This window comes from Homo sapiens, chromosome 20, assembly GCF_000001405.40.
Source record: "Homo sapiens chromosome 20, GRCh38.p14 Primary Assembly".
Classification (NCBI taxonomy): Eukaryota; Metazoa; Chordata; class Mammalia; order Primates; family Hominidae; genus Homo; species Homo sapiens.
Genome location: NC_000020.11, coordinates 1,574,962 through 1,598,975, shown reverse-complemented (window position 1 = coordinate 1,598,975; position 24,014 = coordinate 1,574,962). Strand labels below are relative to the sequence as shown.

Sequence of the window (24,014 nt, the reverse complement as noted above, 5' to 3'; positions counted from 1 at the left end):
GTAGCCCCTTCCTAACTTCTCCTGTCTCCTGATTTCCAGGCCCAGCACTGGCTTCTGCTGCTCCACTTCTCATAGCTTTCCTCCTGGGCCCCAAGGTGCTGCTGGTGGTTGGTGTCTCTGTCATCTATGTCTACTGGAAGCAGAAGGCCTGACTGTAAGTGTGGGGGATGGATGCCTGACCAAGGGCTGCTCCAAAAGGGCAGGGCCAGGAGGAGGGCCCAGCCCACATATCATGCAGCATCAGGGTCAGTGGAGTTTAGAGAAGGTGACAGAGCTCCCTCAGCATCCTCAGGACTCTCAGGGTCTCTAAGAGTCAGGACTCTAAGAGTCTCCCAACCCCAGGAAGTGTGTGAGTGCTTGAGGAGGTGAGCTATAGCCAGGGTGTTTAAAGGTTTTTACAGCACCCAAGGGGTCGCATGAGGAGGTGAGAAGAGGAGCATGCATCAGGGGCTACTGAGTGGGTGGTCCCTTGCAGGCCATCTCTAGATTATTTGATGCTGATCTCCATGGGCCCAAAAGAATCCTCACTGTCAAGTCATGTTGAGAAACCACAGATGGGCAGCTCTTAGGGCTGTACCCATTCTGACCCTCTGTGTGCCTGAGTGGAAGCAATGAGGAGAGAGGCATCAAGACTCAGGAGGAGGGCTGAGCCAGCAGAGTCCTATCTCAGGGCTGCCTCTCCACTTGCAACAGGCATCCCAGAAGGAGACCAGCACCAGGAATACAACAGCCTCCCAGGAAATGTTTCTTAAATGATGAGCAGATGATTAAATATGGACATGTTACCCACAGCTCCTTCCCTCCTCCCCTGCCACATGGAACCCCCAGTCTCTCCTGCCTACTTCCTTCCTTGAATGGCTCTGACTGAGAGAAGGGGCTGGTGAGAAGCTTCCCCAGACTGAGCTCCAAACACCTCCCCTCCCAGGACATCTTCCTGCCCACAGGCTCCTGTTGCTCCTTTGCAGAGTCCTTGATTCTCCAGAGCAGTCTTCATTCATGGTCCTGAGCAGAGGCCATGGGATGGGGCTCTGGGGAGTGACTCATGACACCTCCCTAGGATGTGGGAAACACGCCAAATCTAAACACATCAGGACACCTCTCCTCCATCGTCTTGGACTCTCCGTAAGCCACAAACTGCAGTCCAGATTCTCAAGAGTTATTCTGCCTTCTGGATTCCTGCCTACCCAATTACCCAGCCTTGTTGAGATTCTCTATTGCCTCCTGAATACAAATTAACACTCATCCTGGTTTTAAGGAGAAAAATGATTATCCTTCCTCTTTGTTTATACGTATGATATAATTTGGATATTTTTTCCCTACAAATCTCAATGTGAAATTTCATCCCCTATGTTGGAGGTGGGGTCAGGTGGGAGGTGTTTGGGTCATGGGGATGGATTCATCATGAATGACTTGGTGTTATCTTGGTCTATTAGCACCCACAAGATCTGATTGTTTAAAAGTGCCTAGCAGCTCCCTCTTCTCTTTTTCTCTTCCTCTCTCCCCATGTTATGCCAACTCCACTTCACTGTCCACTGTGAGCAGAAGCACTCTGAGGCCCTCAGCAGCAGATGCAAGTACCATGCTTCTTGTACAGTCTGCAGAACCAAAAGCCAAATAAACCTCTCTTTATAAATTACCCAGCCTCATGTATTCTTTTATAGCAACATACATGGACTAAGACAGTGTCCTACTCCTCACACCTAGAAAGAAAGCATCTCTCCCTCCTCTCTCTGTGATGGAAACACTAGTTTTTCTATCATCCTGCAACCTTCCCAACTCTGTTGCTCATGGTAAAAATACTGTGACAGCCCTAAAGCTGTGAAGTCCTTCTTGATTTCTTCTTTGTTTATATCTCATATTCAGTTCTGCTTCAAAATGCTTATGTCCCCTGGTGAGATAGATGGTAAATGTTTGAAAGAAAACAGAAGGCTGAATTGTAGTGTTTGTCAATTTCTATGGGGTGAATATCCCCAACATGGCCCATTTCAAGCTTCTAACACTTTAACAACTAGAATACACAATTCCTGAAAATTTAACAGTTGGTTCTCCTGAGCCAGTCCAAGCCTGCTCCGGCACACAAAGGAGTTGTACTCATAACCTGCACATCTCTCACCTCCACCACTCCTCCATGGTCCCAGCTAGCATCATCTCCTCCTGGACCGCTTATAGAGCCTCTGATGGATTGCATTTTTCCAGCCTCAGTTATTTTTTGGAAAAGTCAAATCCTGTCATTCCTCGGCTTCTTCCCCGCAACAGCTGCGTGGCTCACTCTTCTGTCCTTCAGTTTATTAAAGGCAACTTATGTAAACCTCCCTATGTAAAATATCCATTTTCCTCTCCACCCTAGCATTCCAATGTCTCTTAATTTGATTAGCTTTTCTCCTTAGCACTGTATTATATTACTACATATATTATACTAAATACAGGGCAGTCCTCACTTTGCATGGTAGTGCAAGATTACAAAAACGACTGTGAAAATACTGAAACCCTGGAAAGCAACTCTACATCCAAAGGGGAATATAATGACTACTCTGTGGTCCTCATAATTTTTGTCAAAATATTAGAAAATATAATATTATCAGTTGCAAATGTGGACAGAAGGGAAAAATATTTAGTTTATGGTAATTCAAAGGATTAGAAACATTGAGGATTAAATTATTATTTCTTTGTAAAACATAGCAAGGATAGTTGGAACAGTGCTTGTCTTCTTGTATATTTCTGATATGGAACAAGCATAAGATGATGAGAACACTCTGGTATAATTTGAAATGGTCCCCTTTCTCCTTCCTCTTCAGGAAGCACTACTGAATATTTCTCTCATACCCACTATGAGGACCAATCAAGCTGCTGTAGGTAAAATTCACAGAAGTGTGGGAGTTCCCATGACTGGGTCCTCCTGAGTTTTTAGCTCAGACTGGTCCTCACTGAACTTATAGCAATTCACCATTCATGGTGCAGGTTTTCTGACCCCAGCACTCTTTCCCATGGAGGTTTCTAATTCAGGAAGTTGTAATTCTCCATATCACCCTGCTGTCTCTCTAATTTTGCCCTATGACCTCATTTCTCCGACAGATCTAAGAGCAGTTGTTGTTTTTTGATTTGCTCAGCTTGTTAGTTGGTGTTGGTTTGAGAGACTTCTTGTAGGGGTCACCCAGGAGATTTGGTTCCACCCCCAAAGGCTTCTGTAGCCACAAGCCCTCAAATGTGCCACACCTGGAATTATGGTCTCTGAAGCTGCAAGCTCAATCCTTGGCTACAGAACCCTATAGGTCTGAACTCTCAAATTAGGAAGGGTCATGGGACCCCTGGCATGAGGTAAGAGTCTCTGGGACATAGAGCAGGCTCTATGTCAGTCAACCTCTCTCCAGTACTGTCCAAGGCTCCCAGGTCTGGGAACCCCAAGCACAGACGTCAGCAACTTCCTAGCAGTGGCAACTGTGTCCACTTCCTCTTTCACAATGGAAGATGGCCCCAGTCTCATGGCCCCTTCCTCCCACAGCAACTTCCCTCCTGGGACATCATGGCAAGGTGGGGCTTCTCCTCCCCTGCAGAGCATAGAGTCTGAGGTCTCTTCATGAGAGTCATTCAGACAGATATCCCCAGCCCTGTGTCCCAGCTCACCTGGACAGGCCCTGCCACCTTCTCTGCTCATAGGACTCACAGTTGTGTGCAGCCTGCTCTATACAGGTGTATTTCTATGTGATGTCTCCTCTCCCTCTCAGTCCATCTCTCCTGTTCCTCTGGATTTCCACTTGGGAGCATTTTCTTGTCTCCTATCCCAGCATGAGGCAAGATTTGGAGCACTTTTTCTATGAGCATCTGTGTAGACCCTAATTAGGATGCACCTTGCCCTAGTCATAGTGATTCTCCCCAGAGGCCATGGCTGCACCATGACCTTGGTGCTGAGCACATGATCTCAGCACCCATGATTCTAGGGCTAAGCACATGACCTCAGCTCATCACCATGGTACCCCCACCTCCCCCAGACATTGGCCGAGGTTGTCACATAACATCATAAATCCTTGAGGGCAGAGGATCTGTTTTTTAAAATTGTTGCTATTACTAAAATTCTACCTAACAACAATAATGTCTAGCTAATATGTATAATAATAATAGTAAAACTGAATATCTAGGTTTGAGGATACAGTCAGATACTATTAGGCACTTTGCATATATCAGTTCATTTAATTCCCATAACAATCTTATGAGGTTGGTGTGATTATTATGTCCATTTTACAGTTGAGGAAACTCAAGAAACAGAGAAGTTAATAGTGTCCCCAGGGTCACACACTTGGGAGCTGGTAGAGCTTGATTTCAGACTAGGAAGTTTTAATCCTAAGCCCACAGGCCTAATCTTTAGTCTTCTGGAGAGGCATCCATGGGCTCCCAGTTCCTCATGTGTCCCAAAGTCTTCCCTCGTCATCTGCATCTAATGTCGTGAGTGGGGGCGAAATATGGTAGATGAAGGGGGGAGTTTTAGCTCATGGACTTCCAGGCTCCCCGTTCTTTCAAATATTCCAATTTTATCCATGTTGCACCAAGTCAATCTAAAGTTGAAAATGAATTCTGCACGTGATTTCTACAAAAATTTTTTACTTGAATAAGCATCTATGCATCTAGCATATCTTCATTGAAGGATTGGAGTTCCTTGAGAACTCCTTGACAGTTCCTTCCTTGGGAAGGCAACTTGCTGCTCCAAGCACGGATCCTGCCATCTTCCTGACACTATTGCATCAGTTAAAATAATTTTTTGTTTGTTTGTTTGTTTTTTTGAGACGGAGTTTCGCTCTTGTTGCCCAGGCTGGAGTGCAATGGCGCAATCTCAGCTCACTGCAACCTCCACCTCCCGGGTTCAAGTGACTCTCCTGCCTCAGCCCCCGAGTAGCTGGGATTACAGGCACTCGCCACCACACCTGGCTAATTTTGTATTTTTAGTAGAGCCACGGTTTCTCCATGTTGGTCAGGCTGATCTTGAACTCCTGACCTCAGGTGATCCACCTGCCTCAGCCTCCCAAAATGTTGGGGTTACAAGTGTGAGCCACCGCACCTGGCCTATTGCATCAATTTTGGAGTCCTGTATTCCAAACTATGATTTTTGGAGGCATGAAACTTTATGTCTCACACCTTCCAAGCCAATTGCTATTTTCATGGAAGGAAATATTCCTCTTTCAACCACTGGTATGTTTTACCTTAAATTATAAATCTTTAGATATTAATATTTCTGGGTTTTTTTTCCTTTTTCCTTCGTAAACAGTAGACTCTTATACAAATATAAAGTTTTGTACCTTTAAAGTTATCACTCCAATAAAGACACCTATTAAAATCAGCAAAACATCTTGAAATATATTTTAATAATGTACAAATGTATTCACAACATAATCTGATTAAGAGACTCCACTAAGTCTATAGTACCTACAACACAATTTACAGATACCTACAGTAGTTTCTAGGTTGCTTTAGTTTATAATTAAATCTACTGCTTTAAGAAATGCCATTAATACAAATGCATAATCTATAACATTCTCATTATAGTAAGAAAAAATATAGATTCATAAAACAAAATGTCTTTACCCATTATGTGAAGTATGTAAATGATTATTCTCATTAAAACATAAAAATAATGCGTTTTTAGTAATAAAAGATAGATATCATTAGGCCAAAGAGCATTGAAGAGCTCCAGGAGGCTCCAAAGTAAAATCTGGCTATCCTCTTATAAAATAAGTAGAACAGCACAATTTCTGGGTATTCCTTAAACATAAACTATGATAATTCATTTATAATAATTGGACCTTAAGTAAATGACTTCTTACAAATGAAAATAAACAAAACTTTAGAAACTAATACCAATTCCCTAAATTTCGTTTTTACTCATTTATGTATGTCTAAGAAATTTTACCATGAAGTACATATTAAAAATTATCAATTATTTCTAACTTACACATTAGCCAACGTGCTCACTCATACTGTGGAAACAAAACTTGCTTCTGAAAATAATCTACAGAAATAATATGTAAACACATAGAGCTTTGAAATAGACTAAGAACATACTATGTTCTATGGATCAAATAGCAAAGGCCTTCATTACATATATCAATAAACACACTTTGGTTAATTTGGGATATACTGATATTACATGACCTTGTGCATACCTCTGTATACCATTAAATAAATTTGGACGTTTGTAGTGACAACACACTTTCTAGCCCCAAGTGCTGGAGAGAAAATAAAAACTTAATATGAAAACTACTTTTGTTTGTTTTAAATAAAGTTATTAAGTGGGGGGAAAAAAGCCAACACTTTCTGTTGCAACATAAACTGAGATCTAAAAGGTTCAGAGTCAAGAATCTCTTAGGTTGCCCCCCAACATCGTAAAACACATAAATTTTCTCCCTCTATTTGAGAAGTCTGATCATGTCTAGCGTTCAACCACTTTACTCTGAAGGAGAAGAGGGCACTGTATTAGTCCATTCTCATACTACTATAAAGAACTACCTGAGGCCGGGCGCAATGGCTCATGCTTGTAATTCCAGAACTTTGAGAGGCTGAGGCGGGCGGATCACCTGAGGTCAGGAGTTCAAGACCAGCCTGGCCAACATGGTGAAACCCCAGCTCTACTAAAATACAAAAATTAGCTGGGCATGATGGTGGGTGCCTGTAATCCCAGCTACTCAGGAGGCTGAGGTGGGAGAATCGCTTGAACCCAGGAGGCAGAGGTTGCAGTGAGCCGAGATCATGCCATTGCACTCCAGCCTGGGTGACAGAGTGAGACTCCGTGTCAAAAACAAACAAACAAACAAACAAACAAACAAAACTGCCTGAGACTGGGTAATTTATAAATAAAAGAGGTGTAATTGACTCACAGTTCTGCATGGCTGGGGAGGCCTGAGGAAACTTACAATCATGGCAGAAGGTGAAGGGGAAACAAGGAATGTCTTACATGGCAGCAGGAGAGAGAAAGAGCAAGGCGGGAACTGCCAAACGCTTTTAAACCATCAGATCTTGATAACTCACTCACTATCATGAGAACAGCATGCAGGAACCACCCATGTGATCCAATCACCTCCCACCAGGTCACTCCCTTGACACATGGGGATTGTAATTTGAGATGAGATTTGGGTGGGGACACAGAGCCAAATCAAATCAGGCACTAAAAGCACATATCACTCACAGCACTGGACAGGCCATTAGTCCCAACCAGAAGATTCTTCTTTCAGCCTCTAAGACAGTTTTACTCTCTTAAGAGGATGTCTCCCAGGACTCAAATGCCCAATGGCCCTTTCCATTGTCATCAATGTGATTCCACCAACATAGTCCAATCATTACTCTACCGGTGACATTCTTCACTGCCCAAAAGCCACCTGACAACGAGATCATTGTCACCACACAGGCCACACAGGCAAGAAAGCAACTGCTGGGCGGTTCATAGAGAAAATAGGTGGCGATTGCACTGACTTGAAATAATTAAAGGAAAAGTGAGGCCACTGGATCTCTGAGTTTAAATTTCTTTGGTCTATTAGTTGTCTGCCCTCCCTTCTAAATCAAACAGTGAAATATCTTCAGTATCATCATCACTGTGCCTTCAGAGCCAACCCTGGGCACCACCACCCTCTCTGCAAGTGCTCAGCTCCTCAGCTGTTTCTGGGAAATTTTTTGACATGTTTTGTGAGATATCTTTTGTTATTCCTATATTTACACCTATTTACCTTACTCTGTTTAGGTGTGTCTCTGTGCTGAATCCTAAGGGATTTCCCCACATGATCCCCCAACCCAATAACTTACTACTTATATATATATAGTCCCCTAGTCAACCTATTACATTTTTTAAAACTGTCCTCAGTAATTATGTTTTCATTTCCAAAGTCTCTTTTTTTGGTTATTTTTCCAAGATACCTGTTACTTCATGCCTGACTATTCCTGTTTCACACATGCCTGATGTTATTTTATGGATTCACTTCCCTTTTGCTATCTTTATAAGGTTACTGTGTATGCTAATTTTAAAGACCTTTTTATATTTTATTTTTTCATATTTTCTCAGTTGTGAAGTCCTCTTGATTGCTGTTCTTGTTTTTGAGTTATTGTTTTTCTTGAATTGGTTAGCTATCTCTCATGGTGCTGCTGTTCCCCACATCTTCAGTGATTCCTTCCTGCACTGCCATCTTTCCAGAAATAAAGCCCCACCCCACGTGATGGAGTTATCAGGGCCTCCTGGAGCATGGCACCTGCCACAGCCTCACTGTGCGGGCTGTTCCTAACTGAGGCTATGGCTTCTTCTCTGCTTCCTCCTGAGGGATGTCTCTCCTTTCCAATGACAGATGTCATAGTGCAAACATTAAAAGTGAAGTCTGTGGTGTGTGGCAACCTATGCTCTAGTTCTAAAAGCTTAGTGATCTTGAGCAAATCCATTACTCTCTGTGTGCCTCAGGTTTCCTCGCCTGTAAAAGGAGGTAGGTTAATAGCAGTGCTTACTTGATAGAGTCAGAGTGATGAATTAATGAGGTAACTGACATAAAATGCTTGACACCATATCTGGGGCACAGGACTTCTGCAATAAATGATAACTGCTGCTATTCCTTCATGTCACATAAAGACTATTGTCTTGTTTTTAAGTGTAATTTGACACGGAATAATATAATTTTATCCTTTTTCATTTTCATTTTTGTGGGTGTGGAGTAGGAGGGGAAGATTTCACCCTGTGCACATTTGCCACATTGAACAGAACTTTGAATGAGAATATGATAACCTTTACATTTCATTTGACAATAACAGATGAAGGACCTAAAACCTAGCATGTGACAGGGAAGCTTCCAGACAGGCCTTTCTAAGTCATAGATGATACAAACATTTCTCCTAACAAGGTGGTTTTTCTAAAGCACAACTGTGGCAGGAAAGCAGTGAGCCCTTCTCATAAAAAAAAATTATAGCCACATTTTTTGGTTAAAATTAATTATGAGTCAAGCATTCATTATGGTTTATATTATTCCTACCCCATCTCTACAAGGTGCATGTTGGTGCATGTTATAACTTCCATTTACATACCATCAAAATAAGGCTCAGAGAAGTCAAGTGTCTTCTTGAAAGTCACACAGCTGGAAATTGTGAGAGAACAAATTAATTTGTGGATTATAAGGAGCAGGATGCAGAGAATTCAAGAGAAAGCAATTGATCTCAGAGTGGCAGGGGTAGTCCAAGCACATCATATAATCTGGGTCTCAGGAGGCCTGGGTTGCTGGGAGAAAGCCACTGGTGGGCAATTCACCATGTAGTAGGGATTCATTCAAAAGCACCACTCGAGTTCCCGCTCTTCACCTGGTGTCATTAGCATCAATAATGACCTACTGGGTTTCAGGCATGGTACAATCATTATCTCCTTTAATCTCCACTAAAACACTGCAATGAAATACTTATAACCCCCAGTTTAGAGAACAAAATTGAGCGTAGATGGCTGCAATGATTTCCCCAACTCCTTAGCACACCTTGTTGGTCAGGGCATATATACTTCCTCTCTCCTCATTTCCCATCTGAACACAGTGGTGAATGAAGTAGGTCCTCTGTGCAGAACAAAGGATATTAAAGTTGATGTGATGACCTCAGGAACCTGTCCGCCACATTCTGCCCGAATCATAACCCTATCCCTTTTCCATAACCCATGATCCTCACTTCACCCGACAAAACAGATCCTTACTAAACTAAAACTACTCCCTCTCCTGGAAGAAGTTGGGAAATGATTTCTTCTGCTGGATTCAGGCCCATGAAAGTACCAAAGTTCAGATCAGACTGAATTTGAGCTACGTTTTGCCAGTTATATCATTAAAAGGTTTGAATAAGGAATCATTTCAAGAGCATACCTGTTTCCTCTCCAACATCAAGAGGCTCCTGCGATCCCTCCTGTTGCCCCCTGCTGAGTAGCACTTGGTTGAGGCTGGTGCAGAACGAAGCAACAAGCCAACCACATCCTAGGGTCCTGAGATGAAGAGTTTAGGACACAACTCACAACCACAGACCTTCTTGGCCCAAGACCCTCAACTGGCAAATCATCAAGAAGACCTGAAGATGGGGAAGGGGGCCACGTGGACAGAACACAGGCCTCAGTTGAAGAGGAAGCATTATTTTTGCTCAGCCTGTCTGATTCTCCTGAAAATGGAGTATGAGTAACTCTGTGCTTTGTAGCTGCCTGCTGTGCCTGATTTCTAAGTTACAATCTAGAAGCAAGTTGCTGTCGCAATCCATCATAGCCACTTCCTCTTGAACTGAGGGAGGCAGGGCTTGTCTTCTCTCCTCAGAGCAGAGCCTGACATCTCCCCACCACAGACGTTTGAACAGAGCAGGCTCCTGAGGTCTCCAGGATGCCTGTCCCAGCCTCCTGGCCCCACCCTCCTTGTCCTTTCCTGCTGCTGACTCTATTGCTGGGACTCACAGGTAAGCATTGCCTTGGGCTAGAACCCTTTCTCTCCGCTGGCAGGGCTATATCCTGTCCCTGGACCTTTGGGGATTCCAGACAACCACAAGTGCTGCCAAGGAAGGCCAGAGATGGGGCCTAAGAGCAGGACATCATGGAGCTGAGCACTTTCTCTGTGGATCAGCAGCTGGCTACCAGAGGCATCAAGTCACAGGATGATTGACTCACCACCACAATTACTTACATTTTGATCTATTTCATTTGACTAACACAGAACAATCACTATTTAAATCCTTACCAGTCTTGAGACTCTGGGGCTAAACAACCTACCCAAGGACAGAGTGAGCTCAGAGACAGCCTGAGAGGGCTGTGTGGCTCCAGGCCCAGCCTTCTGTATTCAATACCCAGAGGAAGTGAAGTCTGAAATGGTGCCTGCTTGAGTTGGACAGGGGTGCAGTGTTTCCCAGGGATGTTCAGCCACCGTCCTCCCTAAGGGTGCTCCTTATTTTGTCCTGTGTTCCCCCATGATCCTCCCTCCCCTGTGACTTGAGTCTTAACACCCATTTTTTTGGTCACCTCTTCCTCTTTAACAAGTTCTGCATTTGCTGCTTATTGGGGCCTATATTCATTTCCTAGGGCTTCCATAGTAAAGAACCACAGACTGGGTGGCTGAAACTAGACATTTACTTCCTTGCAGTTATGGAAGCCGAAGTCCAAGATCAAAGTGTCAGCAGGGTTAATTTCTACTGAGGTCTTTATCCTTGGCTTGTAGAAGACAGTCTCCACCCTGTGTCTCAACCCATGGTCTTCCCTCTGTGTGTGTGTCTGTGTCCTCATCTCCTCTTCTTATGAGACCATCAATCGTATTGGATTAAGGCCCACCCCAATGAACTCATTTAACTGAATTGCTTCTTAAAAACTCTGTCTCCAAATACAGTCACATTCTGTGTTGCTAGGGTTGGAGCTTCAACACATGCCTTTTAGGGGACACATTCAGCCCATAACAGGTACCATAATCTCCCTTGGGTCTCTTGACTTTGCCATGGAGAATTTATTTTCCCTTCCTCAGGAGGGGCAGGTTGGAAAGTCTTTGCTCCCAGCTCCCAGATAGGCTTCCTGTCCTCACTCCTTACTCAGGCCATGGAGCTGACACCAGGGTCACAGCGCTGGGCACAGCAGCCTCTCAGCTCCCCACTGGGCCCTGCTGTGATGCCACCTCACAAGTCCTAGAGGGCAGAAATTTCACTTTCCAAATCATTTTTCTTACCATACACTGTATTCAAATGACAGCAGTAATAGTTCAGCAATTGAGATCTTCCTATAACGCAAAAACTGTTCTTAGCATTCTGTGTGTTTTAACTCCACTAATCCTCACAACATCCCTGTGTGAAAGCTACAACTCATATTCCCTATTTGCAAATGGGGAGGCAGGCTGAGAGAGGAACTTGTCTATCGTTCCCTACCTCAATCAGTGGAGCAGATGGGATTCAAGTCCAGGTCGACCAGCTTCAGAGTTCCTACTTTTAGCCTTCTTATGCTACCTGCAGAAATACTAGAAAATGCAGGAAAGCAGACACAGGATTAATCATCACCCATTACACCAGTCAGCAACAGAGTTAAAACCCTGGTATATGTTTGTATTCCGAAAGTTTTGTTAATCTGTTGGATGATTTCTATGTGACAAATATTATAGGTCACAGTTTTATATATATTTGTGAATGTGTACACACACACGCACACACACGTGTGCAGTGGTCCCCAATCTTTTTGGCACCTGGGACTGGTTTCATGGAAGATAATTTTTCCAAGGACCCAGAGTGGGTGGGTGGGGAGGTTGGTTTCAGGATGAAACTGTTCCACCTCAGATCATCAGGCATTAGTTAGATTCTCATAAGGAGCACACAACCTAGATCCCTCGCATGCACAGTTCACAATAGGGTTGGCACTCCTATGAGAATCTAATGCTGCCACTGATCTGACAGGAGGCAGAACTCAGGCGATAACGCTCACTCACTGGCTGCTCACCTCCGGCTGTGCGGCCCAGTTCATAACAGGCCACGGACCTGTACCCAACCACAACCTGGGGATTAGAGATCCCTGCATGTGTGCATATAAGTGAGTGTAAGTGTGTACACGCACACACATGAGATTTCATTTTTTATCAGTTTCTCCAACTTTAATTTCAATTAAAGCTTAAGAAAATACTTCTAATTTGAGAACAGTATACTTCTCATGTACAACATATTATGACATATGTGTACATTTCTGAATGACTAACTTCAGCTAATTAACATATGCATAATCTTACATATTGACAATTTTGTATGGCGAGAACTCCTAAAATCTATGCACTTCGCAATTTTGAAGGATATAAATCATCTTATTAACTATAGACTCCATATTGTACAATAGATATCTGGAGCTAATTTCTCCCATCTAAACAAAAATTTTGTGTCCTTTGACTAATACTTACCGAACTGCACCCCTTGTCTAGCCCTGGAAACCGTCATTCTACTCTAGTTCTTTGAGTTCAACTTTTTTAGATTCCACATATGAGAGAGATCATGCGGTGTTTGTCTTTCTGTGCCTGGCTTGTTTCACTTAGCATAATACCATCTTGGTTAATTCATATTGTTGCAAATGACAGGATTTCCTTCTTTTGTACAACTGATTAGAATTCCATTGTGTATGTATACACCACATTTTCTTTATCCATTTATCTGTTGATACGCACCTAGGTTGATTCCATATCTTGGCTATTGTAAATAATGCTGCAATGGACATGGGGGTGCGGATATCTCTGTGACACGCTGATGTCATTTCCTTTGGATATACGCTCAGTAGTGAGATTGCTGGATCATATGATAATTCTATTTTTGAATTTTGAGGACACTCCATACTGTTTTCGCTAATGGATGGCCTAATTTACATTCCCACCAACTGTGTGGGAACAGGGTTTCCTGTTCTCCACATACTCTCCAACATCTTTTTGATGATAGTCATTATCATCTTTTTGATAATAGTTATTCTAACAAGCGTGAGATGATAGCTCACTGTGGTTTTAATTTGCATTTATCTTAAGAATGATGAGGTTGGATATTATTTATATGTTGACTGGCCATTTTGATGTCTTCTTTTGAGAAATGGCTATTTGGCTCATATTTTACTTGGGTTGTTTTCTTATGAGTGAGTTGTTTGACTTCCTTATATATTTTGCATATTAACTCTTCATCAGATGTATGGTTTGAAAATATCTTCTCCCATTTTGTAGGCTGTCTCTTCACTCTGTTGATTGTTTCCTTGGCTGTGTAGAAACTTTTTAGTTTGTTGTAGTGCCATTTATTTATTTCTGCTTTTGTTGCCTGTGCTTTGGGGCTCATATCCAAAAATTCATTGCCCGGACCAATGTCATGGAACTTTTCTTCTAGTACTTTTACAGTTTCAGATCTTACATTTAAGTCTTTAATACATTTGGAGTTGATTTTTGTATGTGGTATGAGACAGAGGTCTAATTTCATTTCTCTACACATGGATATTCAGGTTTCCCAACACCCCTTTTTCAAGAGACTGACATTTCCCCATTGTGTCTTCTTGACCCTTTTGTCAAAGGTCAATTGAGTGCAAATGTGTGAGTTTATTGCTGGGCTCTCTGGTCTGATCCATTGGTCTATGTGTCTCTTTTTGTGCCAGTGCCATGCTGTTTTGATTACTGTGGCACTGTAGAAGATTTTTAAATCAAGCAGTGTGATACCTCCAGCTTTGTTCTTTTTGCTAAAGCTTGCCTTAGCTATTCATGGTTTTCTATGGCTAATATGAACTTAAGGATTGTTTTGTCCATTTCTGTGGAATTTCATTGAAATTTTACTGACATTGAATTGAATCTGTAGATCTCTTTGGGTAGTATGTACATTTTACAATAGTAATTCTCCAATCCACAAACATAGGTATCTTTCTGTTATTTGTTTTCTATTTTTTTCATCCAAGTTTTATAGTTTTCAGTGTGTAGGTATTTCAGCTCCTTGATTAAGTTTATTCCTAGCTGCTTTACCTTTTTTGGTAGCAATTGTAAGTAAAATTGTTTTACTGATTTCTTTTCCCACTAATTTGCTATAAGTGTATGAAACTACTGATTTTTACCAATTAATTTTATATCTTATATCTGTGGCCTATTTGTTTGTTGATTCTAAAAGTTTTTAGAGATTTTTAAGATTTTCTCCATATAAGATAGTGTCATATGCAAACAGGGAAAATTTATCTTCTTCCTTTGTGATTTGAATGCCTTTTATTTACTTCTTTTGTGCAATTATTCTGGATAGAACTTCTGATACTATATGTTGAATAGAAAACTTGAGAGTGGGCATCATTGTCTTGTTCCTGATCTTAGAGTAAAAGGTGACAACTTTTCACCATTGGGTATGATGTTAGCTATGGATATGTCCTGTATGGCCCTTATTGTGTTGAGGAACATTTATTTGGTATCTAATTTCTTGAGAGCTTTTATGATTAAAAAATGTTAAATATTGTCAAATGCTTTCTTTGCCTGTGTTGTAAGGTCATATGGTTTTTGTCCCTCTTTCTGTTGAAACACTGTACCACATTTAGAGATTTATGAATGTTGTACCATCCTTGAATTCCTGGGATAAATCTTACTTGACCATGTGGAAACACACAGCAGCAGCAGCAGCAGTAGTAGTAGTAGTAGTAGTAGTAGTAGTAGTAGTAGTAGTAGTAAGACTTCCCTTACTACAGTCTTCAACTCATTTTTTAGTCTACAGGAAAAACACATTAAAGAGATGTTTGATTTTCTCTGTTGCCCAGTCATTCTCCCTCCTTTCTACTTCAGTCATTTACCCCTGAAAATCCCCCAATCTGTTAAGCAAAGCAACAGGTAAGCAGACTTCTTAGTAAAATGCACTTTTCCTCAAAACAGAACTTTTGCGCATTCCTCTCTTTGAGTTCTCTCTTCCATTAATGGTAGGGTTGAGGAAGAAAGAAGGAGATAAAAGTAACAGAGAACCCTGCCTATATTATCTATATCTATAGTTATATTCATATCCATATCCATAACCATATCATCATCTAATATCCATTGAAGCCTCCAATCCTCAGGAAATCTGCCAAGTAATCACTTTACAATTTTTGAATACCCACCGTGTGCCAGATACTGTAGGAAATCACTTACATTTCTGACATCAGGTAACCATTATATCCAAGTTCACCCTCCCTCACAAATAAGGAAACAGAAGCACAAAGTGCTCCTAGGTTACTCATTGGTAACTGGTAGAGCTACGATTTGAACTCAGGCACTTTGACTCTAGAGATCACAGGTTTCACCATTACTCTTCTCAAACACTTTTGCCCTTGATCTTATTCCATGAAATTTCCGCAGATGCTGCTCATGAGGGCAGGGAGGTGATGTGGTGGGGAGAAGAGGATTTGTGGTTTTCTTCTCCTTGACTCTTCTGATTTCTGCATGTATACAAGTCGATTTTTTTTCACCAATTCACATGGGAAACACATTTTCTGGCAAATTTCATGAAAGCAATTCACTTAAAATACAATATTTAGTCTCCTGAGAAAGTGTTCCACTAAGCAATTCACACATTATACACATATTTGATGAATACCTGCTATGTGCCAGGACCTAACAAAGAACATTGTTGAATAAAAGACAAAAAGTAGTTGCCCTTTTGTTGCTTATCTCCACTGGGGAGAATGACAGTAATCAATACACATGATAAATAGGCAAATAAAATAGTATATTAGACAGCGATAAGTGAAAATCAAGTGTGTGTTTACGACTTTTATTATTTTATAGAAGTTTTCATATATTCCTTTTATTGATGGTTTTTGTCATAAAAAGATCCCCAAATTTGTCAAATCGTCTTCTGTATCAAATGAGCTAATCATGTGTTTCTTGTCTTTCTTCTATAAATATGATATATTACATTGTTTGTCATTTGTGCATGGAAACATCCTTGTATTCCAGAAATAAATATCACTTGCTCGTGTTGTATAATTCTTCTAATATGCTGTTCAATTCAGTTTGCTAGTATTTGGTTGAGGATTGTTGCATCAACAAACCAAGTAGTAATAATGCCAACTGTCAACAGAAAGGTGTGCAGCTGTACCTGGCAGCAATTTTAATTTTGTGTTGCAGTGGAAGTTTAAATTCCGATGGGTGTCATTTCAGATGAGCAGAGCCTGGCCTGTGGGGCAATTTATGGTTAATGATTGAAACAGGAGGGTATTATCTTCAAATCTGGAATCCAAATCAGGAGATTCTAGTGGGTAACCAGTCAGTTGTTTTAATGGAGTACAGCGTAGGCCATAAAGAGCATTATTTTTGCATCAAGGCCCTGAGGAAATATATAGCCATCATGAGTGGTCTAGAGACTCCAAGAGGCATGAAAGACACAGCCAAAGTCTTTACAGAGGAGAGATATTTTTGTTTAATTCATTTAATGACACTAACAGGAGTGTCTGTTGATTTTAATTTGTAAGTAAAATTTGTAAATGAAGAATATGTTGCCACAGGCATCCCAAAAAAAACTTACAGGTGCTGGATTATGTGACATTAATATGCATATCACATGAATCTTCTTTGAAGAGGTGTTACCAATGTTATATCATCTTGTGCTCTTGGAGAAAGGTGGATGTCATTATTGATATTGGAACAGGATCCTCGCTTCAGGATGGAGAGCCATGGCAGCACTCCAAAAGGCAACACAAAGCTGTACATAGCATAGCACAAGAAAGTCATCAGGGTAAAAAGCCTTCTCAAATTGTGGAGCCAATCAGAGTAGCAAATCAGTAAGTCATGAGTCAAAGGCATTCCCTAGGAACTTTCCACCTGAGTTTAGAATGATCCCATCCTCATTGCCATTACTATAGAAAATGTTAGAGTGACTCCTGCTGGTTGAATCTTAGAGGATCACTCTAACATGGCCATGAAAAGTTCATATGAAGAGGCATACTCACAGTTCCTAGAGACAGAAGTAGGGCAGGCCATGCAGGAAGCCATGTGGAAGGAGCTCCCAAGGAGCAGGCTCAATCAAGCAGATGGGTAGGCAAGAGAGATGGGATCCCTGGGCAAGTGCCTTTACTGGGAGTCAAGGTGGAGGACACAAGCAAAAACACTTTTACTAGAGTGTTTCAATGTCACTAGGTCACAGTAGGGGAAGACAAGAAGAGGAATTGTGGCAGGGACCAGCTTTAAAATACTGGTTACCTGGTCACCTGGGCAGGGTGCTCACAGCTTGTTTGTGGGATATTGAAGCATGATTTTTAAAAAATGTACACATAACTGGATATCTTTATTTCTTCATACAACTTTGAGTTGCCATATAGCATCCTTTCATTTCCACCTGAAGCACTCCCTTTAGCATTTCTTGTAGGCAAGGTTTAATGGTCATGAACTCTGTTAGCTTTTGTTTATCTGAGAATATCATAATTTCTCCCTTGTATTTGAAGGACACTTTGCCAGGTATAGAATTCATGATTGACATGTTTTTCCTCTTTCAACATTTTGAACTTACCATCCCCCTATCTTCTGGCCTTCGGTGCATTGCATAAGAGCTGAGCTGAAAATCTTATTGAGGGTCTCTTGTATGGAAGAAATCGCTTCTGTCTTGCTGCTTTAAGGAGTCTCACCTGGACTTTAGGTGTCAACATTTGGATTATAATGTGTCTTAGTGTGGGTCTCTGAGTTTATTTGTGGGTTCAACTTGCGTTTCTTCTGTGTCTTCAATTTGTAGATTCCTGTATTTTAACAAGTTTGTGAAGATTTTTGTCCACTCTGTTTTCATATAATCTTCTATTCCTTTCTCTCTTTCTCTTTTTTCCCCCTGGAACTCTAGTAAGGTGTATGTTGATACATTTGATAATGTCTCACAATTCCCTTAGATTCTGTGCTCTATACTTTATTCTATTTTCCACCCACACCTCAGTCTCAATAATTTCAATTATTCCATCTTCCAGTTTTCTGATTATTCTTCCACCGGCTTATACCCATTGGGGGGACCCCTCTAGTGAACTTTTAGTTATTGTACTTTCAATTCCTAAGTTTCTGTTTGATTTCTTCCTATAATTTCTCTTTCTTTACATTCTCATTTTGTTAAGACATTTATATTCCTTTAGTTCTTGGTCCGTTATTTCCTTTACCTCTCAGCATTTTTAAGGCAGTGATTTTAATATCTGGGTCTAGTATCAGGGTGGAGCTAATACATCACAAGGGTGCTTATAAGAAGGAGGAAGATTAATTCTTGGAGAAGGACATTGAAACATCCTTGTATTCCAGGATGTTTGCAGGTGAAGATGCAAGAGGTTAGAGTGGTGGGAAGATGTAACTGTGAGAAAGGGATGGGAGAAACCTCTAGAATTTGGAAAGGCAAAAAACAGAGCCTCCAGAAGACACACAGCTCTGCTGAAAGCGCCTTAAAAAATGTAGACATGGAAGGTGTAAAACATGGTGCTTTCATATATGTATACATGTACATATACGTAGTGAAATGGTTATTAAAGTTAAGCAAATGGACACATCCATCATCTCCCATAGTTATGCTGCATGTGTTGTATGTCAACAGCACCTAAAATGTGCTTCTTAAGCAAAAATACTGAATTCAATACAACATTATTAACTAAAATCCTCAGATTGCACATTCATTCTCTGGACTTCTTCCTCAGACTTATCACAATTTTGTGTCTTTTGACCTCCCCATCAACTCCCCCAAGTTCACCCCTAGTCACCACTGTTTTATTCTCTATCTTTGTGTATTTGACGTTCATCATTTCTTCTTCATTGTACCCCAGTAACACTATTTTGGACTTCTAACCTCCAGAACTATAAAATGTTACATTTCTTTTAACACACTAAGTTTTGGTAATTTGTCACATCAGCATTAGGAAACTTAGGTAATGTGATTATGCTATGGGTGAAAAATTACCAGGGGCTTAAAACAAGGTTATATTTCTACTGGAAGCTACATATTCAGTGTGGATTGGCAGTTCTGCATGCAACGGTCATTCACGCATCCAGGCGATGGAGCAGGCCCTATCAGAGCCTCGTGGTCTCCGGAAGGGAGAAATTGATCCACAGAGGCTCTTGCAGTTAAATGCACAGCCCACAAATTATACCCATCATTCTGCTCATAACTCAAGGGTCTAAAGAAGTCACAGGGCCCCACCCAATCCAGTGATACAAAAAGTGCCACACTCCATGTACCACAGAGTGGAGGCCATAATTGGCAAAACATGGCACTTCCGAGGAGGGCTCAATAGTTCTACTCAGGTCCTCAACCCAAAGCTCTACATTGAAATTGAACCTCTTGGCCAGGCGCGGTGGCTGACACCTATAATCCCAGCAATTTGAAAGGCCAAGGCAGATGGTTTGCTTGAGCCCAAGAGTTAGAGACCACTGTGGGCAACATGGTGAAACTGTGTCTCTAGAAAAAATACAAAAATTGGCCAGGTATGGTGGAATGCACCTGTGGTCCCAGCTACTTGGCAGGCCAAGGAGAAAGGATCTCTTGAGCCTGGAAGATTGAGGCTACAGTGAGCTGTGATTGCACCACTGCACTCCAGCCTGGGCAGCAGACAGAGCAAGACCCCGTCTCAAAAAAGAAAAGAAAAGAAAGCAAACAGAAAGAACAGAAGAAAGTAAGGAAAAGGAAATTGAACCTCTCTGTGCCTCAGTGTTCTCGCTTGTATTACAGTCTTACGTCACAGGCCAGTTGTGAGGGTTAAATGAGATAATACATGTAGTGGGCTGAGCTCAAGGCCTTTTCCTGGTGTGCACCCAGTCAATGAAAGCCATTGATAAACACTTGAGGAAACACAGAGAATCAGGTAAGGATGAAGAAATGACTGCTTTGTGCTCCTTTCCAGGAGTGGCAGGTGAGGACGAGCTACAGGTGATTCAGCCTGAAAAGTCCGTATCAGTTGCAGCTGGAGAGTCGGCCACTCTGCGCTGTGCTATGACGTCCCTGATCCCTGTGGGGCCCATCATGTGGTTTAGAGGAGCTGGAGCAGGCCGGGAATTAATCTACAATCAGAAAGAAGGCCACTTCCCACGGGTAACAACTGTTTCAGAACTCACAAAGAGAAACAACCTGGACTTTTCCATCAGCATCAGTAACATCACCCCAGCAGACGCCGGCACCTACTACTGTGTGAAGTTCCGGAAAGGGAGCCCTGACGACGTGGAGTTTAAGTCTGGAGCAGGCACTGAGCTGTCTGTGCGCGGTGAGTACAGCGTGGGCCTCCTTTGTCCCCTGGTGTGTGACAATAACTCAATAATTACATTATCCATTCTTGGAGCAACAGCCAGGTGTGGTGGTGGCTGAGCAGCCACCCTTTCATGAACTGATGTCACCCTTTCTCCAGATCACATGAGTTGAGGCTTGGAGATGTCATGGCAGTCGCTCGAGGCTCCACGGCTTGTAAATGATGGGACAGAAGGCATCCCCAGTCTGCGGCTCTACAGCTCTTGTGTTTCCAAAGCTGACCCAGCCCTTTGGTTCCACAGATGAGGGAACTCACAATTTGAGTGACTTGTCCAGGCACAGGGCTGGACCTTGCCTTCTGCCTCCAGAGAATGCTTCCCCCTCAGGGTGGCCAAGTCCCTTCTTTATGCAACAGGCAGTCACTGAGACCCCACTGTGTGCCAGGCTCTGCCCTGGATGCTGCGCAAACAGCAGTGAATGAAACAGCCTAAAGCGCTCCCCCACCAAGCTTACATTCTCTTCCCTTCTAATGAGGAGAAATCCGTCCAGGGCATGGAGAGGGTAAATCGTGGTTGTTTTTTTTTTTAATTTAATCTTCAGAAACACCCCACGGGGAAGATTTCTCGGAGGCACATTCACGGTTGAATCTGATGGCTTGGTGGGAGGAGATGCCAATATGTTTGGCATTTGCTGTGGGTCTATTTGGGAAACCCTTCTGTGATTTGGGGACTGAGTCACAGAGTTACCATGGGCTCCGAGCAGAGCTGCATCATCTCAGAATGTCCCTCACCTCAGGAAAGAGGTCCCACAAGTGGGTGACTTAGGGGTTCCCCATATAAGGTAGCAACAATGCTTATGTGGGGTTTCCTGCCAGAGCCCCAAAAGCCTCGTCTTAACTGCTGAATTCTGGCATGTCAGCACAGGAAGGACCTTCAGACCATCCAGCCCAACCCCCTTTACAGATGGGAGACTGAAGCCAAGACATGACAGGGGCCTTGTCCATGGTCACAGGGCCAGTTAGTGACAGAATTGGAGCCAGAGTCCATATCTGAATCGTGGCAGTCTCCTTCCTTCCCCAGCATTAGACGCTGTCTCCATAGAAGAGCCTGGTGCATCATAGGTGCTAGATAAAAGTTCCCCAAACAGAGCCAGGTGTCAGAGAGCCAGCATTTCTCTTTTCATCAGTTTCCCAAATGTTAAGAATGCACCTCACATTCAGATACTAAAGCTCATTGGTGACTAGAAAACTTCTCCCAAATGTAAGCCCTGTCATTTCATATCGAGATTCCACATCAGGACATAGAGAACTGCTCCAGTTTTTTTACAGCTGAAAAATACTCCAATTTATGGAAATACCAAAATTTATTTTACAGTCTTCTGTTGATGGATATGTAAGTTATTCCCAACATTGAGCTACTACAACAATCATGCAGTGGATGACCTTGTACATGTGTCACCCTACTCAGGTGGGAGATTCCCACTGGAAGTGGTGTTTCTAGGTCAGAGGATAGTGTGTTTTCATATTTGAGAATATTGCCTAATTTCCCTTCTAGATGATGTAGCAATCAGAGATTACAGACTTGAGCTACCATGCCTGGCTAATTTTGTATTTTGTAGAGACAGGGTTTCTCCATGTTGTTCAGGCTGGTCTCGAACTCCCAAACTCAGGTGATCCACCCGCCTCAGCCTCCCAAACTGCTGGGATTACAGGCGTGAGCCACCATGCCTGGCCCCACTTCAAACATTTTTAAGACAGTGGTTTTAACATCTGGCTCTAGCATCAGGGTGGACACAATACATAAGAAAGGTCCTTACAAGACAGAGGAAGGAGATTAATTCTCAGAGAAGGACTTGTGAGGATATAAGCAAGAGGTTAGAGTGATGGGAAGATGTAACTGTGAGAAAGGAATGTGGGCAGCCTCTGGAATTTGGAAAGGCAAAAAAACAGAACCTCCAGAAGACACATAGCTTTACTAACAGCTTTTTAAAAAAATGTGTATATGTAAAGCCTAAAACATGATGCTTTCATGTACATGTATGTACATGAAAATGTACATTGCTCAGTAATGACTGAAATCAGCTCCCCACAACCCTTGAACTTAGACAAGGAAGGTGGCTTTATCCTGATTGTGCAGATAATATTGGCAAAGACACTGAAATGCCCAGGTGGTGCCTCCCCAGCCCAGGCAGCCACAGCCAGTGGTGGCTCAGGTGTGACTCAGATCTGCTCACTCCTAGTGAAGTACTCACTCCTCTTTGCCATGCTCTCGGCCTAAATGATGAGCTACATGAGAAAGGAGGGAGGTGGGGAAGGGGGCCAGAGAGCAGCAACTGTGCCAGAGTCTCCTTATAACCAGTGCTATGAGGGAGAAGCCATTTGCTACCTCCTTTAAAGATGAGGACACTGAAGCTCAGAGAGGAGACCTGACTTGGGAGCAGGTCAGGGAGCCAAGGCTGGAACCCCGCAGCCTGACTCACAGCCTTTGTCTTTGTGACACTCAACTGTGGTTTTTCAAGAGTGGAGAAATGCTCCAACCTTCTCTTTCTAAACTCTTGCATTGTTCAGTTCTACAGCAAAAAGCATTAAAAACAAAACAAGAACCCTGTAGGGGTAGGAGGGCCTGTCTTCACACTCCCATCAGAAAGGCCCTGCGCATGTCTCATGATATGCCAAGCCGGTTCCTAAAGGACAGGTCTCAACACACATGAGGCATTTAGGACTCTTCCCCCATGTTGTGTTGTTTCCTCTTCACTCAGCAGCGTCCAATGAGCAGAGTCGAGCCTCCTGCAGCCCAGCAGAGCACGTATCTGCCCGTTCATGGTGCTGAGGACTAAGGATGAGGAGATGAGGCATTTCCTAGAGAGTGTTTGGGGCCCATGTGAGCAAGAGTTGAGATTCTCCCCTCCGGCTGTCAGGAGCCCACTGTCTTTTGCTTATGGCTGCAGGGTAACCAGGCCTGGGCACCCAGGAGGGAGGCTTCTCCCTAACATTGCATGAAGTCTAGAATCTCAAAGGGACAATTGAGGTGGCAGTCAGTGTTGGAGCTCAAGAAGTTAGAACACTTGCTCTGTTAATGGACATAAGTGCTTGGTGGGACACAGGAAATGCCCACTGGGACACATGGAGAATCGGGAGACAGTGCCTTCATTTTGTTCAGCCACGGCATCTTCATCTGTAGAATAGAGACAATCATGGACTCCTTTAGGAAAGTCGTAAGCGTAAGGTTCTCTCTGTAAATCACCTAGCACACTGTAGGCACCCCCAAAGTGAGGTGTTATTTCAAGATCGTGTGATCTTGGGCCAGTCTTGCCTTCCCTTGAGTCCTCGGTTTCCCCATCGGTGAGATGCTGATTATCATGGCCTATTCTGGGTTCTGTGAGGATTGGAGAGGATG

The 24,014-nt window shown here is 42.6% G+C and overlaps 1 protein-coding gene and 1 pseudogene across 7 annotated transcripts in view; one reads left to right on the top strand and one right to left on the bottom strand.

The window, feature by feature from the left end:
- The window catches only part of SIRPB1 (signal regulatory protein beta 1), a 58,625-nt gene that overhangs the window by 21,034 nt on the left and 13,577 nt on the right, over nucleotides 1-24,014 (top strand). For 2 of the 7 annotated variants that reach the window (NM_001330639.2, XM_005260641.4), the window contains exons 1-2: nucleotides 10,279-10,416; nucleotides 20,282-20,638. In NM_001330639.2, coding sequence (NP_001317568.1) covers nucleotides 10,344-10,416; nucleotides 20,282-20,638 — 430 coding nt within the window. In that variant the 5' untranslated portion in view covers nucleotides 10,279-10,343. Of the gene's footprint in view, nucleotides 1-39; nucleotides 155-693; nucleotides 1,637-10,278; nucleotides 10,417-20,281; nucleotides 20,639-24,014 lie in introns of those variants that run through there. The other 5 variants (NM_001083910.4, NM_006065.5, NM_001329157.2 and 2 more) reach the window with 4 other exon arrangements.
- TVP23BP3 (TVP23B pseudogene 3) lies at nucleotides 7,128-7,584 on the bottom strand (annotated as a pseudogene).